General features: G+C 41.0%; 1 protein-coding gene across 1 annotated transcript in view, besides 1 other annotated feature; it reads right to left on the bottom strand.

The window, feature by feature from the left end:
• The window catches only part of GALNT10 (polypeptide N-acetylgalactosaminyltransferase 10), a 230,252-nt gene that overhangs the window by 165,667 nt on the left and 49,054 nt on the right, over positions 1-15,531 (bottom strand). The gene's annotated exons all lie outside the window — the stretch shown is intronic.
• Positions 10,626-10,675: a silencer, noted in NCBI's record as "silent region_16538". NCBI's record gives its function as "represses an Ori minimal core promoter by ATAC-STARR-seq in GM12878 lymphoblastoid cells {active_cell/tissue: GM12878}" and the evidence as "EXISTENCE:reporter gene assay evidence [ECO:0000049][PMID:35858748]".

The raw sequence follows: 15,531 nt of genomic DNA, 5'->3' as shown, positions 1-15,531 counted from the left end.
GCCCTGACTTTCACATACGTACCAGATTTCCCTCACATAATTGAGGGATATACCTTGATGAGTCTGCACCAATCCTGGTGGTCCCATTTTCCTAATTATTAGAGATTAGTTCAAGGATAGGGCCAATTGAGGGAGTCTGTTCGGGGTTAGAGACAGGAGTTAGGGAAAGGATTTTCTCACTGATTAGAAGGTAATAAAGGGGCTGGGCATGGTGACTCATGCCTGTATCCCAGCACTTTGAGAGTCTGAGGTAGGAAGACTGCTTGAGCCCAGGAGTTGACCAACCTGGGCTACATAGTGAGACCTTGTCTCTAAAAACAACAACAACGATGCCCTTCTCTGCTTCTGGGAGGAGCTCCTACAGGAATCTTACATCTCTGAAGGAAAAAAGCAGACATGCAGAGGATGATAGCAAAGAAAGATAGGAAGAACCAGGTCCCTGATGACATTATTGAGCTGCTAAATTACCTGCCCCTGAACTTCTTGTTGTCTTAATATATTCAATGCACTTATTGTTTTGGTCATTTCGAATAGAGTTTTCTGTTACTTGCAGCCAAAAGTATGCTAATTTATATACCCAGCAAGCTGTAATGTGGCCTTAGACATCTTCTCAATACAATGCTTCAGAAAGTCATTATCAATTGATCAGAATTACCACTCGGCATAAAAGTATGCTTGCCTTCCTGGGGCTACAGACTTTTTTCAAAGAGGTATTGATGCCAGTAAAAAATTCCTGATTTGATGTTATCCCTCTTTCAGGAATTCATTACTAATAAAAGTTACCTGGAGACAGAAAAAAAAAAAAAAGAAAAGAAATAAAGAAAAGAAACACCTCTGTGGGAATTCTGGGACCAAAAGGGCTGCAAAAAACAAAACATCTCTTAGTAAACATTTCTTTGCCAACAGGAATGATTCTTCAGTGTGATCTCAATATTTATGAGCATCTACTATATATGTAAGAGGCACTGGAAGAATCAAAGGGATGAAGAATAAGATGGCCATAGAAGCAACAAAGTTCTTCAGTATCTCTGAATCCCCACAGAAACACACACAAAGCAAACATAGAAAAATCCATAAAACAACATATACAACCAAATTTGCTAACAAGGCATCCCTATGAACCCTATACAAGTGGGTGAGAGCAAACCACTACTAACCATGAGGCTTCCATGTTACCAGCACCTGTGTGGGAGGAAATAGGAAGCAATGGAAACAGTGGCTGCTGGTCCTGAGAGCATAACAAAAAAACAGCCAACATTCTCTGGGAGAGCACTATGGGCTAAGGTAAGAACTGCAGTCAAAACTGGGAGGATTTCTGCCCAATGCAGTAATGGGTGAGTGTAGAAGGTCCACAGTGAGCAGGTCTGAAGGGGACGGGGCCACCTCACTCCTATGAACTCTTAAAGCTGATCTTCTAGGGCGGATCAAGACCTGCACTGAGGTAGATCTGCAAAGAGGTAAGTCCAAACTGAGCAGGACAGGAACAATGGAGACAAAGGAAAGAGGAATTTCAGATAAAAGTAGGAGAGAGAAACACAGCCAGGAAATCTAAGAAAGCAAGCCACCATGTTTTTTAATACCACACCAAAAAAAAAAAAAAAAAAAAAAAAAGAGGAGGCTTTATGAAGTTAGAAAAGCTTTCCTGAATCCCACCTTCTTCTGAAAGTTCAAGACAACTAATTTCACCAAAATATGGATAACTTAAAAGTACTGATGTCAAATCCCATACTAAATTGTTATTTTTTAAAAAAATACAAAGCAGAATATTTTCTTTTTTTAATTATTATTATACTTTAAGTTTTAGAGTACATGTGCACAACGTGCAGGTTTGTTACATATGCCATGTTGGTGTGCTGCACCCATTAACTCATCATTTAGCATTAGGTATATCTCCTAATGCTATCCCTTCCCCCTCCCCCCACCCCACAACAGTCCCCGGTGTGTGATGTTCCCCTTCCTGTGTCCAAGTGTTCTCATTGTTCAATTCCCACCTATGAGTGAGAATATGCGGTGTTTGGTTTTTTGTCCTCGCGATAATTTGCTGAGAATGATGGTTTCCAGCTTCATCCATGTCCCTACAAAGGACTTTCTATAGACAATGAAAGCATGCCTGAAAGACATGGTCACAAAACAGATCAAACTGCAACCTATGTTTTCAAAATTAGTTAAAAGACATTAAGAAAATGCTCTAAGGTATACGACGTAAGTTAAAATTAGACTCAGAAACGAGGCAACAAATTCAGCAAAGAACTAGAAATAAAAGAAAAAAAACCATTTCACAAATGAAGACTAAACTAAAAAAAAAAAAAAAAAAACCACTAAAAAACCAACCAACCAAACAAACAAAAAACAGTTAATGCCCCAAATAAGTGAAAGCAGATAAAAATTTTAAATCAAGATGAAATGGGGAAAAAAAGAGGTAAAGACTCAAGAGAAAGTGACTACAGAGAAATACCAAAGACAGGTAATGAAGATCTAACATACAGATAAGATGAGCCCCTGAATAAGAAAACCAAAACAAGGTAATAAGGAAAAAATATGAAAAACTAAAATTCAATAAAAATTTCCTGAAATTTAAGGGAAAAGAAGATTTGAAAGCACAAACTGAAAGAGCCCAGGACATAACTTAAGAATGTCAGCTCAGGACAACCAACACTAAGGCATTAATGTACTGAAAAAGAGGAAGGAAGGAATGAAGGAGAAAAGGAGGGAACATCCTTTTAGATATCTAGAAAAAAAGAGCAAGGGACTTATAAAGGAAAAAAAAATAGATTATCACCAGATAGTGTAATGGTAGTAAACATCTTAATGCCAGAAGAAACTAGAACAACAAGATACGCAAGGAAAGAAAAAGTGAACAACAAATTTTATATCCAGCAAAACCAACTTTCAAGTATAAAGGGCAAAACTGTTATCAATATCTAAGTACTCAGAAAATATTGTTCCCACTAGTGCTCCGTAAGGAATCTACTAGAGGTAGAGCTTCAGGCAAGCAAACTGATTGGAGAAACATCAACATACAAACTGATGGTGAATATTAACTATATACTCACCTATATACTCACCTGTAGAACTAAGTGGAAGTTAAGAGGGAGACAGTGGTATAACATAGATACAGGACAACTATAGAAACAATGGGGGAAATGGGAGAGCATATGCAAAAAATACTGTTTAGTGTTTTCCATAATCATATCAGCGGTAGCATTAGTATTGCTATTCTGATATTGTTGTGTGTATAACATGGGTAAGACAAGAATCTAATTCTACTACCTCCTGTATCCTTGAAAACCAGGGCTCTTGCTATAAAGAAAGGAGCTACAGAAATATAATAGAGAAAAAATTCAACAGTCTTTAATTTATATATTTATGAACTCACAGGGTATTTTCTCTTTAAATGTAAATAAAATACAACTATAAACATATTTATAATCTCCTCCCCCTGTCCAATCTCAAGGCAAGAAACAAGCCCAGTAGCAAAGAGCATTCCTAATGCCCAATTTGTGGTCTTAAAATACCATTTCCCTCTAAAAGAAACCAAGCAGTTTCTTAGAGAAATGATGAATTCCAGGTCTGGTGTAGGGAATGTGCCAGATGGATCTGGAATATCTTAATGCAGCAGAGAGCAAGGCAGTCATCAAAGACTACTGAGGTCATGTCACAAGGACTCAGGGTCCAATTTGAAGAGATTCCCACTGAATAAATGAAAAAGAAATGATAAAATACCAGAAGATGTAATGTGCCTCCTGGTGTAGAAACATGGCATCCCCTAATTCTTGCCAGAGGGGTCAATGCCAGTCTGACCAAGTCTCTGGATCCAGCTGCCAATTTGCAAAAAGTAAAGAAAACTGAGGAATATGTTAACTTGAACTACGAGAGTAAAATCAGCAAAATCCAGACTGTGGAAAATCTGACAGGTCTGTGTTGTTCAACAGATAAATTGCAAGGAAAAGAAAAAATGAAGGGGAAACCTGTAGATTGAGACTTTAAAAACATCACACTTAAAAATGGGTAAGGCTAAACTAATATGGGTACACATTCGGGTGATAAGTCCATTTTTAAAATGAAAAGAGTGACTGGTATAAAAGTAACGTTACTATTAAGGGGAAAGAGGGGGCTGTGATCAGAAGGGGCACAAGAAGGGGTTTCTGGAGGGAATGGCAATGTTCCACTTTTTAGCCGGTAGTGGCTCCAAAGGGGTTCACCTTATAACAATTCATTACGTTCACAGTTTTGTTTAGCTTTCTGTATCTTGTATTTTATTTTGCAATAAAAAGATTGTCTAAAAAAGATAGGGACAAGAGGGAGAATAGAAAGTCTCTGCTTTTATCCCGGTCCCTGGACATGTTTGTGTTGAGACAGGGATCATGAACAGAGTATATTCCAGATACAGGGCACAGCCTAAGCAAGGCAAGAAAGTAGAAACCAGACATGTGGCAAATTCTGGCAATAGCAGATATTCCTGTTTGGCTGTGCAATGGCTATATGCAGAGGATATGGGAGAAAATAAAAACTAAGAAGTCAGGGCATACTGTGGAAGTCAAATGATGTCAGGACAAGATGTTTGTAATCTTTTAAGCAGCAGAGAATGGGTAAATGTTTCTCAACAAGGATTGACACCTAGATTGAGCGACTCTGGTGGTTATTTCTCACTCTAACCCCCTCCTCCTTCCTAACAGAACTCTGATTTTGTCCAGTGATCCATCCTGGAGGTTTCAGTGTCTATGTGTGATGTCTGGAACTGCACCAGCCATCTTGGGGCGATGAGAAACTTTAACCTGGGGAGTACATGCTGTACATGTACATTTAAGTACAGAGAAGTGGCAGGAATATGAATTTCAGATTATGCTGCTGAGCCACTGAATGAATTAACCCCATAGTCCCCCTTGTGCCAGGGTTCTTGATAAATGAAATAATGAATCTCCATATCATTTAAATGAGCTGGGTCTTCCATCACTTGCAGCTGAAGCAGCCAAAATGATGCATGGGCTTTATCGAAAAATAATTTAAAAGCCCACCTAGACAATTGGAAGTAAGACTCCAAGAAAGAAAGACCAAAATGCCTTTAAATAGTTTCCATGCCATCAGTGGTCCAAAGGACTGACTTATCAGTTGCCCTGAACAATCTCCCAGTTCCACAGAAACACATAGGGGGCTGCAGCAGCCAGTTTAAGTTTACCACTTAATCGCACAAGTCTAGCTGGTGTCAAGCTCTTAAAGGAGTTGATCCCCGGGAACGGGGAGAAAAATGAAAAGGAAATAAAATTGAACAGTTGCCTGCAGAAAACACCAGCTGTGCATGATTGATTTCCATGTAATCTCCATTTGTCTCCCTGGAATTTCTTCATCAGATTTCTGGCACAGGGTCACAGGGAGGCCTGATGCTGCTCATGCCTAGAGTGTGGTCAAGAAAAAAAAATTCCCTTATATGCCCCTGAAGGCCAAGGAGGCCAACATGGGTGATCTGTGGGGTAGCAAGAGAGAGAAGCTTTTCTTCTCCTCACCCAAAGGCAATACTCAGACCATAGGCTTCTGCTGCCTAGGGTAAAGGGCAGCCCTGTAGGCTACTTTAGTAGAAGTTTTGTCTCTCAAACTGGTAGACTCCTGTGACATGGGGAGTTTGTGCCTCTCTTGGGTATCTTCAGTCCATCAACTGTTTGGGGCAGGTGTCTTGGCCCTGACCACAGTTGGTATATAGGACTCCTCCATGGACCCATCTATCCTGAAACCCACAAAGGGAAACAAGTTACTGGGGGGGGCTGGAGTTGGCCTTGGTCTTACTGGTGGTGGGCATAGGATTAAAAAAGAGTAGGAGAGAATGGAAGGGCAGGATGAATTCTACTCTGTTGTCATTTCAAAGTGCCACCCATTTTGCTTGATTTATGCTGTCTGCCTTGGACTGAATGCCCTCTGGTATTAATATTGGTGTGTGCATTTGCCTGCTTTGTCTCTGCCCACTGGAATGGAGCTCACTTGCTCAAAAGGAACAGAAAGAGCACCTAGGACAGTGCGGTCCCCAGTCCGGCAGCATTAGCATCTCCTAGAAACTTATTAGAAATGCAAATTCTCAGGCTCCACATCAGGCCTACTGAATCACAACTTTGGGCATGGGGGCCAGAAATCTGTGTTTGAACAAATGCACGTCAAGACTAGACCAGGAACTGCATTATGTGAAAGGAAAAGGGGCAAGCCCAGGAACTTAAAGTGACTTACCTAGGATCAGATAGCTGGTAACACAGGGACTAAACTAGAAGCTGGATTTGACTCCCAATCTTTCTCATTGCACCAGAAAAGGAAAGCAAAGCTGCAAAGCTACTGAGAGCTCTTTCAAAACCATTCTTAGCCATTTCTAGTATCTCCATAGACATTCCAGCAACTTATCTGGAGCCTGGAGCCTAAAATACTGCCATTCCTCATATGGGACTATAAGACTGGGTCAACCTCTCCCGCTCTGACTCCTCTATATGACCAGCATGAAAGAAAAATGCCCTCATTCCCTCAGTGGCCTAAGCCAGAAACCCAAGGAATGGTGAGGCGCAGCAGTTAATGAATCCAGGAGCTGATTTTTTGAAAAGATCAACAAAATTGATAGACCACTAGCAAGACTAATAAAGAAGAAAAGAGAGAAGAATCAAATAGACGCAATAAAAAATGATAAAGGGGATATCACCACTGATCCCACAGAAATACAAACTACCATCAGAGAATACTATAAACATCTCTATGCAAATAAAGTAGAAAATCTGGAAGAAATGGATAAATTCCTCAACACATACACCCTCCCAAGACTAAACCAGGAAGAAGTTGAATCTCTGAATAGACCAATACAGGCTCTGAAATTGAGGCAATAATTAATAGCTTACCAACCAAAAAAAGTCCAGGACCAGATGGATTCACAGCTGAATTCTACCAGAGGTACAAGGAGGAGCTGTTACCATTCCTTCTGAAACTATTCCAATCAATAGAAAAAGAGGGAATCCTCCCTAACTCATTTTATGAGGCCAGCATCATCCTGATACCAAAGCCTGGCAGAGACGCAACAAAAAAAGAGAATTTTAGACCAATATCCCTGATGAACATCAATGCAAAAATCCTCAATAAAATACTGGCAAACCGAATCCAGCAGCACATCAAAAAGCTTATCCACCATGATCAAGTGGCTTCATCCCTGGGATGCAAGGCTGGTTCAACATAGGAAAATCAATAAATGTAATCCAGCATATAAATAGAATCAACGACAAAAACCACATGATTATCTCAATAGATGCAGAAAAGGCCTTTGACAAAATTCAACAGCCCTTCATGCTAAAAACTCTCAATAAATTAGGTATTGATGGGACGTATCTCAAAATAATAAGAGCTATTTATGACAAACCCACAGCCAATATCATACTGAATGGGCAAAAACTGGAAGCATTCCCTTTGAAAACTGCCACAAGACAGGGATGCCCTCTCTCACCACTCCTATTCAACATAGTGCTGGAAATTCTGGCCAGGGCAATCAGGCAGGAGAAAGAAATAAAGGTATTCAATTAGGAAAAGAGGAAGTCAAATTGTCCCTTTTTGCAGATGACACAATTGTATATCTAGAAAACCCCATCGTCTCAGCCCAAAATCTCCTTAAGCTGATAAGCAACTTCAGCAAAGTCTCAGGATACAAAATCAATGTGCAAAAATCACAAGCATTCTTATATACACCAATAACAGACAAACAGAGAGCCAAATCATGAGTGAACTCCCATTCACAATTGCTTCAAAGAGAATAAAATACCTAGGAATCCAACTTACAAGGATGTGAAGGACCTCTTCAAGGACAACTACAAACGACTGCTCAATGAAATAAAAGAGGATACAAACAAATAGAAGAACATTCCATGCTCACGGGTAGGAAGAATCAATTATCATGAAAATGGCCATACTGCCCAAGGTAATTGATAGATTCAATGCCATCCCCATCAAGCTACCAATGACTTTCTTCACAGAATTGGAAAAAACTACTTTAAAGTTCATATGGACCCAAAAAAGAGCCCGCATTGCCAAGTCAATCCTAAGCCAAAAGAACAAAGCTGGAGGCATCATGCTACCTGACTTCAAACTATACTACAAGGCTACAGTAACCAAAACAGCGTGATACTGGTACCAAAACAGAGATATAGACCAATGGAACAGAACAGTGCCCTCAGAAATAATGCCACATATCTACAACTATCTGATCTTTGACAAACCTGACAAAAACAAGAAATGGGGAAAGCATTCCCTATTTAATACATGGTGCTGGGAAAACTGGCTAGCCATATGGAGAAAGCTGAAACTGGATCCCTTCCTTACACCTTATACAAAAATTAATTCAAGATGGATTAAAGACTTAAATGTTAGACCTAAAACCATAAAAACCCTAGAAGAAAACCTAGGCAATACCATTCAAGACGTAGGCATGGGCAAGGACTTCATGTCTAAAACACCAAAAGCAATGGCAACAAAAGCCAAAATTGACAAATGGGATCTAATTAAACTAAAGAGCTTCTGCACAGCAAAAGAAACTACCATCAGAGTGAACAGGCAACCTACAGAATGGGAGAAAATGTTTGCAATCTACTCATCTGACAAAGGGCTAATATCCAGAATCTACAATGAACTCAGATAAATTTACAAGAAAAAAACAAACAACCCCATCAAAAAGTGGTCGAAGGATATGAACAGACACTTCTCAAAAGAAGACATTTATACAGCCAAAAGGCACATTAAAAAATGCTCATCATCACTGGCCATCAGAGAAATGGAAATCAAAACCACAATCAGATAACATCTCACACCAGTTAGAATGGCAATCATTAAAAAGTCAGGAAACAACAGGTGCTGGAGAGGATGTGGAGAAATAGGAACATTTTTGCACTGTTGGTGGGACTGTAAACTAGTTCAACCATTGTGGAAGACAGTGTGGCGATTCCTCAGGGATCTAGAACTGGAAATACCATTTGACCCAGCCATCCCATTACTGGGTATATACCCAAAGGACTATAAATCATGCTGTTATAAAGACACATGCACACGTATGTTTATTGCAGCACTATTCACAATAGCAAAGACTTGGAACCAACTCAAATGTCCAACAATGATAGACTGGATTAAGAAAATGTGGCACATATACACCATGGAATACTATGCAGCCAAAAAAAATGATGAATTCATGTCCTTTGTAGGGACACGGATGAAACTGGAAACCATCATTCTCAGCAAACTATCGCAAGGACAAAAAAAAAAACACCGCATGTTGTCACTCATAGGTGGGAATTGAACAATGAGAACACATGGACACAGGAAGGGGAACATCACACTCTGGGGCCTGTTGTGGGGTGGGGGGAGTGGGGAGGGATAGCATTAGGAGATATACCTAATGTTAAATGACGAGTTAATGGGTGCAGCACACCAACATGGCACATGTATATATATGTAACAAACCTGCACGTTGTGCACATGTACCCTAAAACTTAAAGTAAAAAAAAAAAAAAAAAGCGCTTAAGATATCACCAGACATCCCTGGCCAGGCCCACTTTTATCCCAGATGCTTACCATTTCCATTGTTTATTGACGTCCATAATATTTCAAATGAATTAATCATACACATCCTCTTTTCATCATTACCTGGTAGACTAAATGCTTAGATTCTCCCCTCTGATTGTGGCTTACATATATTAATGTATTAATATATGAAGATCACAAAGTGATAAAAGTGTTCAAAAGGTAGAATTTATTAAAGGACGACTATATAATTAAAAAAAAAAAGCCAGAGCTCGGAGTCCCAGCTATATGACTCATTCACTGTGACCTGAGGACAAGTTTGAACCTTTCTGAGCTAGTTTTCTCAGCTGTGACATGGGTAGAGCAAGCTTACAGGGGTAGTACCCACTGGTGAGGATAAAATGAGATCACCCATGTCAGGTGCTTAGCACCATGCAGGGCACATAGCTAAGTGCTCAATGCACAACAGCTGTCATTGCTAGCCTCAACATCACCTGTCCCTCACCTCCCCGTATCCGACTGGTGACCAAGTCGTGCTGACTCCACCTCTTGGACTCTTCTGTCCTCTCATCCTTGTCTTTGCATGCCCATCCTCACTGCCACCATGGTGGCTCTAGTTGTCATCTCCACCCCCTTGCATCACCACACAAGTCTTCAACAGCTCTCCTGGACTCCAGTGTCCATTCCAGCCTGCTTTCCAGGCTGACAGCCCAGTGAGCTTTCTAAATTGCAAAGCTGTGCAGCTCATTTTGCTGCATGAGCTTCCAGAATCCCTGCAGTGGCACCCCATGGACTTCAGCTCCAAGGAAGAACCCACAGGCCCCTGGTGATCAGCACCCCCAATCTCTATCTTACATCTAGGTCTCCCCTCAACTCCATGTTCCACACTTAAGGAGTTTTGAGACCACCAAAAATGGTGAACTTTTCATACTGTGCTGTGTTCTCTCTGCTGGGAAAGTCCCAACCTCCATTTGCCTAGAAAACACACATTCATCTTTGAAGATATACCCCAGCAGTGATACCTCCTTGAGACCTGGTTCCAGGCTGAAGTGGCTGCCCCTGCTTTTTGCCCTCTCTGGCTGCTGCCTTTGCTTCTCTCACAGCACCTGTTCCCCTTTACTGGGCTCACGTGTTTTCACATCTGCCACCCTTGCTGTCTGCCGGATTATCACTCCATCCTGGGCAGTCCTCCAGCATAGAGAAAACACTCTTAACTAACTTATTACACGGATAAGCACTGAACTCCCCCAATCTCACCAGTCCCAGCTTTGCCCTCTGGGCTCACAGTAGAAACTTGATCCAGCATTCCCCCAAAAAAGCCTTTCATATGTTGGAATCTCATCTCACTTTCAAAGCAGGTTGAAATAATTCTTTTTTTTTTAATTAAAAAAAAATTTTTTAGAGACAGGATCTCACTATGTTGCCCAGGCTGGTCTTAAATACCCAGCCTCAAGCAATCCTCCCACCTGAGCCTCTGAAAGTGCTGGGATTACAGGCATGAGCCACTACACCCAGCCTCCTGAAATAATTCTTAATATTATACAAATGTGGCTGTGGCTATGCAAGGAATAATACAGGCCACATGACTGCTATCTAACTACGTAATCCATCACTTGCTAGGCGGTCACTCCATTCCCAGCAGTGGCAAAGCTCCCGTTTAGGGAGAAAATGAGCCTTCTCATCCCTTGCAGGTTGCGGAACATGGCAATGAAAACTAAGTGCTTGCTGTCATGGTCCGAGCCCTGGGCTCTGGTTCTGGTTCCTGGTGCTGCTACTCACCCACTGAGTGACCAGGGCAAGCTTCCTCCCTGTCTGGGCCTCTTATCCTCATCTATAAAATGAGGACTCTGGCCAAGAAGCTCTCTAAGCACCCTTTAAAGCACTAACATCTCAGGAATGTAAATCCTTATTAAGCCACCAGTGGCTGAAGAGATGGGGACCAATTTATAATATCTGTCAAACAATGGCTTAGAGGAAGAATTCTGAGTGTTAAGACCAGCTCCCCTAGCAACTTCTTGAAATGCCTTTAGACAGCAATACTCCTTCCCTGAAAGATCTTTGAAAGAACATAATAATAACAACTTTCATCAACGGTTTACTCTGTGACAGACCCTATTTAAAGAATTAATTCTATTAACTACTTTAATCCTCATGATGACCACATGAGAAAGAACTATTATTGCTTCTCTTTTATAGATGAGAAAACTGAGACACAGAGTGGTTAAATAATTTGCTCAAGGTCACACAGCTATCAAATGGCAGAACAGCAGTCAAATCCAGGTAGTCTAATTCTGGACTATGCATTATTAACCACTACGTAATATTGGCACTTTTGGTTAAATTCTCCCCAAAAGGGAAAGTTGCTTATGTGGGAAAGTATACCCAGGTACACCTGGCAAGCAGTCCTATGTTAAATAGTACTCAGATGGAAACAGGAAGAGTCAAATAATTTGTTCAACAAATATTGCATTTCTCTTCTGTCTGTTATGGGAACTGCAAATGCTCAGAAGTGAGTGGGAGTAGAAAGCAAAAGAGTAGTCCCTGTTCCCGAGGGAGGATACAGTGATACCATCAATGACAGTGTACCAGGCACACTGCTAATCACCTTCATTCATTATCTTATTTGAGATAAGATAAGTTGAGACCCCATCTCTAAAAATATTTATAAAGTGAGGGCTGATGCTATCTCATTTTGCAGATGGGAGAGAAGGCACAGAGACATGAAGTAACCAGCTCAAGGTCACACAGCTAGTAAGTGGCAGAGCTATAATGTGAACCCAGATCTGCTTGTGTTTCATGGTCTGTGCTTTTAACAGAACTGACTTACTACACTCTTAGGAAAGTAATTTAAGCTTTGCAGAATCAAAAGACATGCCAAAATAGAACAAATAACAAAGCTGTAAGAGACCAGGGCTGAAAACAGTAACTAGACAAGCTTGAAGCACTTTTAAGGAGTGGTGGCTATTGTGCTCCAAGGAGACCAATGAAAAGGAAGGGCTTTTTAAAATGCATGGGTTATATCTGGGAGTCTGGGTTGAGGGTAGGAGCTAGAATAACCTCAGACACTTTAGGCAGACAAGGTCAGCAAGGCTGAGCCAGGACAATACTGTCACACAGAGGAGGGCTCTGAGTGCTTGGGCATAATCCCACAAGTGCCCACGGTCATTGAGCTCTCAAGAGAGTGACAGGAGGGAAGCAGGGATTTAGGAGCTTTTGCCTGGCCACTGGGACCCTCTCCAGGGAGGGTTTATGCCTCATAGGATCACAGTTATTATTAACCCTGGAAAAGCTGCCTGGGCAGATGCACCAAAGAGTATTCAAAGAGCATAATACAGGAGAAGCAGGAAGAAGAAAAGTGCCCGAGGGACACAACAGTGCTGCAAAGGGCCCAGGCTCAGACCAGCAATTCTCAAACCATAACAGTCACCCTAGAAACCTTAAAATGCAGCTTTCTGGGCTACCACCAGAAAAGTGCGGCCTCAGGAGGTTCAAAGTGGGGCAGAGACTGTACCCTCCTCAAACAAGATGGCTGTCCTGCAGGGAACCCTGGACCAACCTAAAAAAATAGTGCTTTATTATCAAAAGACTCATCGAATTAGACTGAGTGGAGTAGAATCAAGACTCTGGTAATTACTATTTTCTAATTATGCAACTTTGAGCAAGTCCCTTAAAAGTTCCCTGAGATTCCATTTTCTAATCTGCAAAATGGAGTTACCTTGCCCTGCCCACTTCACAGAGCCAGTCACATGAGACAAGGACTGAAAATCCTTTGTGATTCTGAAGGACTGGGCACTGTAAGTTACTGTGGTGGTGGTGATGGTGATGAAGAATAAGAAGCCTGTTCCCAAACTCCAGCATCCTTTCTCTTAATGCCACTTCTAAGTCTTGTAGTGGCGAAGGGGAAAAAAATGTTATTCAAAAAGCCTTATGATGACTCCAATTCTCAGGATTTTTACTGAGGAAATAACTGGACAAACAAGCCAATATGTGTTGAAGAGAATGCTCAGTGTGCGTTGTGTATAATAATGAAAAACTGGAAATAATCTAAATGTCCAATAACATAGGAATGGTTAAAGAAACTAGAATTCATCTCCCAAAGAGGAATAATATCTGGTATTTTTAAATGATGAGGCACAACTCTATTAACAAAATAATTCCTATTCACAATATATTAAGTGAAAAAAAGCTTGGTTTTAATTTTTAGTTGACACAATAATTATATGTATTTATGGAGTACAATGTGATGTTTTGATACATGTAAAAAAAAAAACCTTGTTAACACAAACCTCTCTATTATCTCCTTAAAAATATATAAATTGCATGCTAAAAATGTGAACAGATATATGCAATGCAACTATGGTTATCTCTGGATGGTCACAATTACTGGGAAATTTCTTTTGTTTGCACTTATCTGCATTTCGTGAACTTTCTATAATGAGATTATGTTGCTGTTGTCCTCTATACCCCACCCCTCTCTGCCCCTTTCCACATTTCAGTGACTCTGAACTGGCTAATCCCACAGCTCTGCCCCTCAGCTGGGGCCCAGAATTCTAAGGAACTGCCAAACACCAAACCCATACTCCTTAGGAATGGGCTGGGGTAGGGCCTCTCCAGAAGGCCTCGTCTAACTGGCAATAGCACATTCTTTCCATGGACATTTCCAGAAAAACCTCAGTCAAAAGCGAGAATGACAGGAATCTGAAATAGACCATCTATCAGGCAGAACACCGTGGGGCTCCAAATCTGAGCAAGAGGCCCCCTCAAAGCAACACCTCCAGCCATTTACTGAGCATTTAAGCTCTACTCCTCACTGGAAAGCTGTACTAAATGCATTCTGAACATTACCTTATTTGATCTCCACAATTTTGCAAGGCAGGTATTTTTTCCTTCAAATTACAAATGAGGACACTTGAGGCTCTGCTATATTTTGCCCAGGTCACACAGCCAGGAAGCGTCTGAGAGGGCCTCAACCCCAGGTCTAACTCTGCTCCATACCACAGTGAAATAGCACCTTCTCATTGGTTTTGTGTACCTGGCCTTGAATTTCTCTTTCCTTATCCAAGGAACTGGACTCTTATCAACGCTCAAGATTACTCAATAAAATACTTTCAGCTACACTTGCATGATTTTTCCCAACTTCCCCAGCCACAAAATATAATGGTTGTTTTCAATCAATTAATAGCATTTATTAGGTGTTGAGTACACATCCATCTTGTCTGCTAGGAAAGTTCACCCTCTTAACCCAGGACACAGAAAACTATCAGAAATGATCCATGTCCTTAAGTATCTGAAGAACTCATTGTAGCTCTAAGACCAATGACTGAGAAGTCCACAAAATTGTGTCAAGCTGACCCCATACTGAGTACTCTAACCTGGGATTATGACCTCACTAACACTTGCAGTCAGTGCTATTGTGTATTGGGTCTACTATATACTAAGTGCTTTATGTACTTCCTCTGTTCCACTCTTTATCATAATCCTGGGACATAGGTTTTATTATCGTCATTTTATAGGTGAGGACACTAGGACTGAGAGAAGTTAAGAGATTTGCCCAAGGTCAAGTAGTATCTATAATCAAATTTGAGGGTTATTTTTGTGTCTGTCTGTCACCCCACCAGATGGCAGGCCCATAAGGATAGCAATGACCTAGTCCTGTGCCTGATGTATGGTAAGTGTAAGCCTGTGTATACACGAATACACATTCTCATACACACATGGGCAACACTACAAGGGAAGCAATCAAGGTAACTCAAAAGGGAGCTTCTGGATTCAGGCAGATCTGAGTTTGAAAAGCAGCTCTGCCAAGTCCCAAATGTCTCTTCTTAAGCAATTCAGTCTTCTAAGAGCTCTAGTTTCTTTACCTGTTACATGGGGAGAACAAAACACTCACTCACTAAGGAGGGGATGAGGAATCAACAAGAGTCATGGATATCAATCTATGAGCAGAAGGTCTGGCATGTGGGAATTGCTTATTAAAACACAGATATCTATTACTACAAGGCCAGAAACAGAAGT

This window comes from Homo sapiens, chromosome 5 (assembly GCF_000001405.40).
Source record: "Homo sapiens chromosome 5, GRCh38.p14 Primary Assembly".
NCBI lineage: Eukaryota > Metazoa > Chordata > Mammalia > Primates > Hominidae > Homo > Homo sapiens.
Note: the sequence above shows the minus strand (reverse complement) of the source record. Positions and strands in the feature narration are given on the sequence as shown.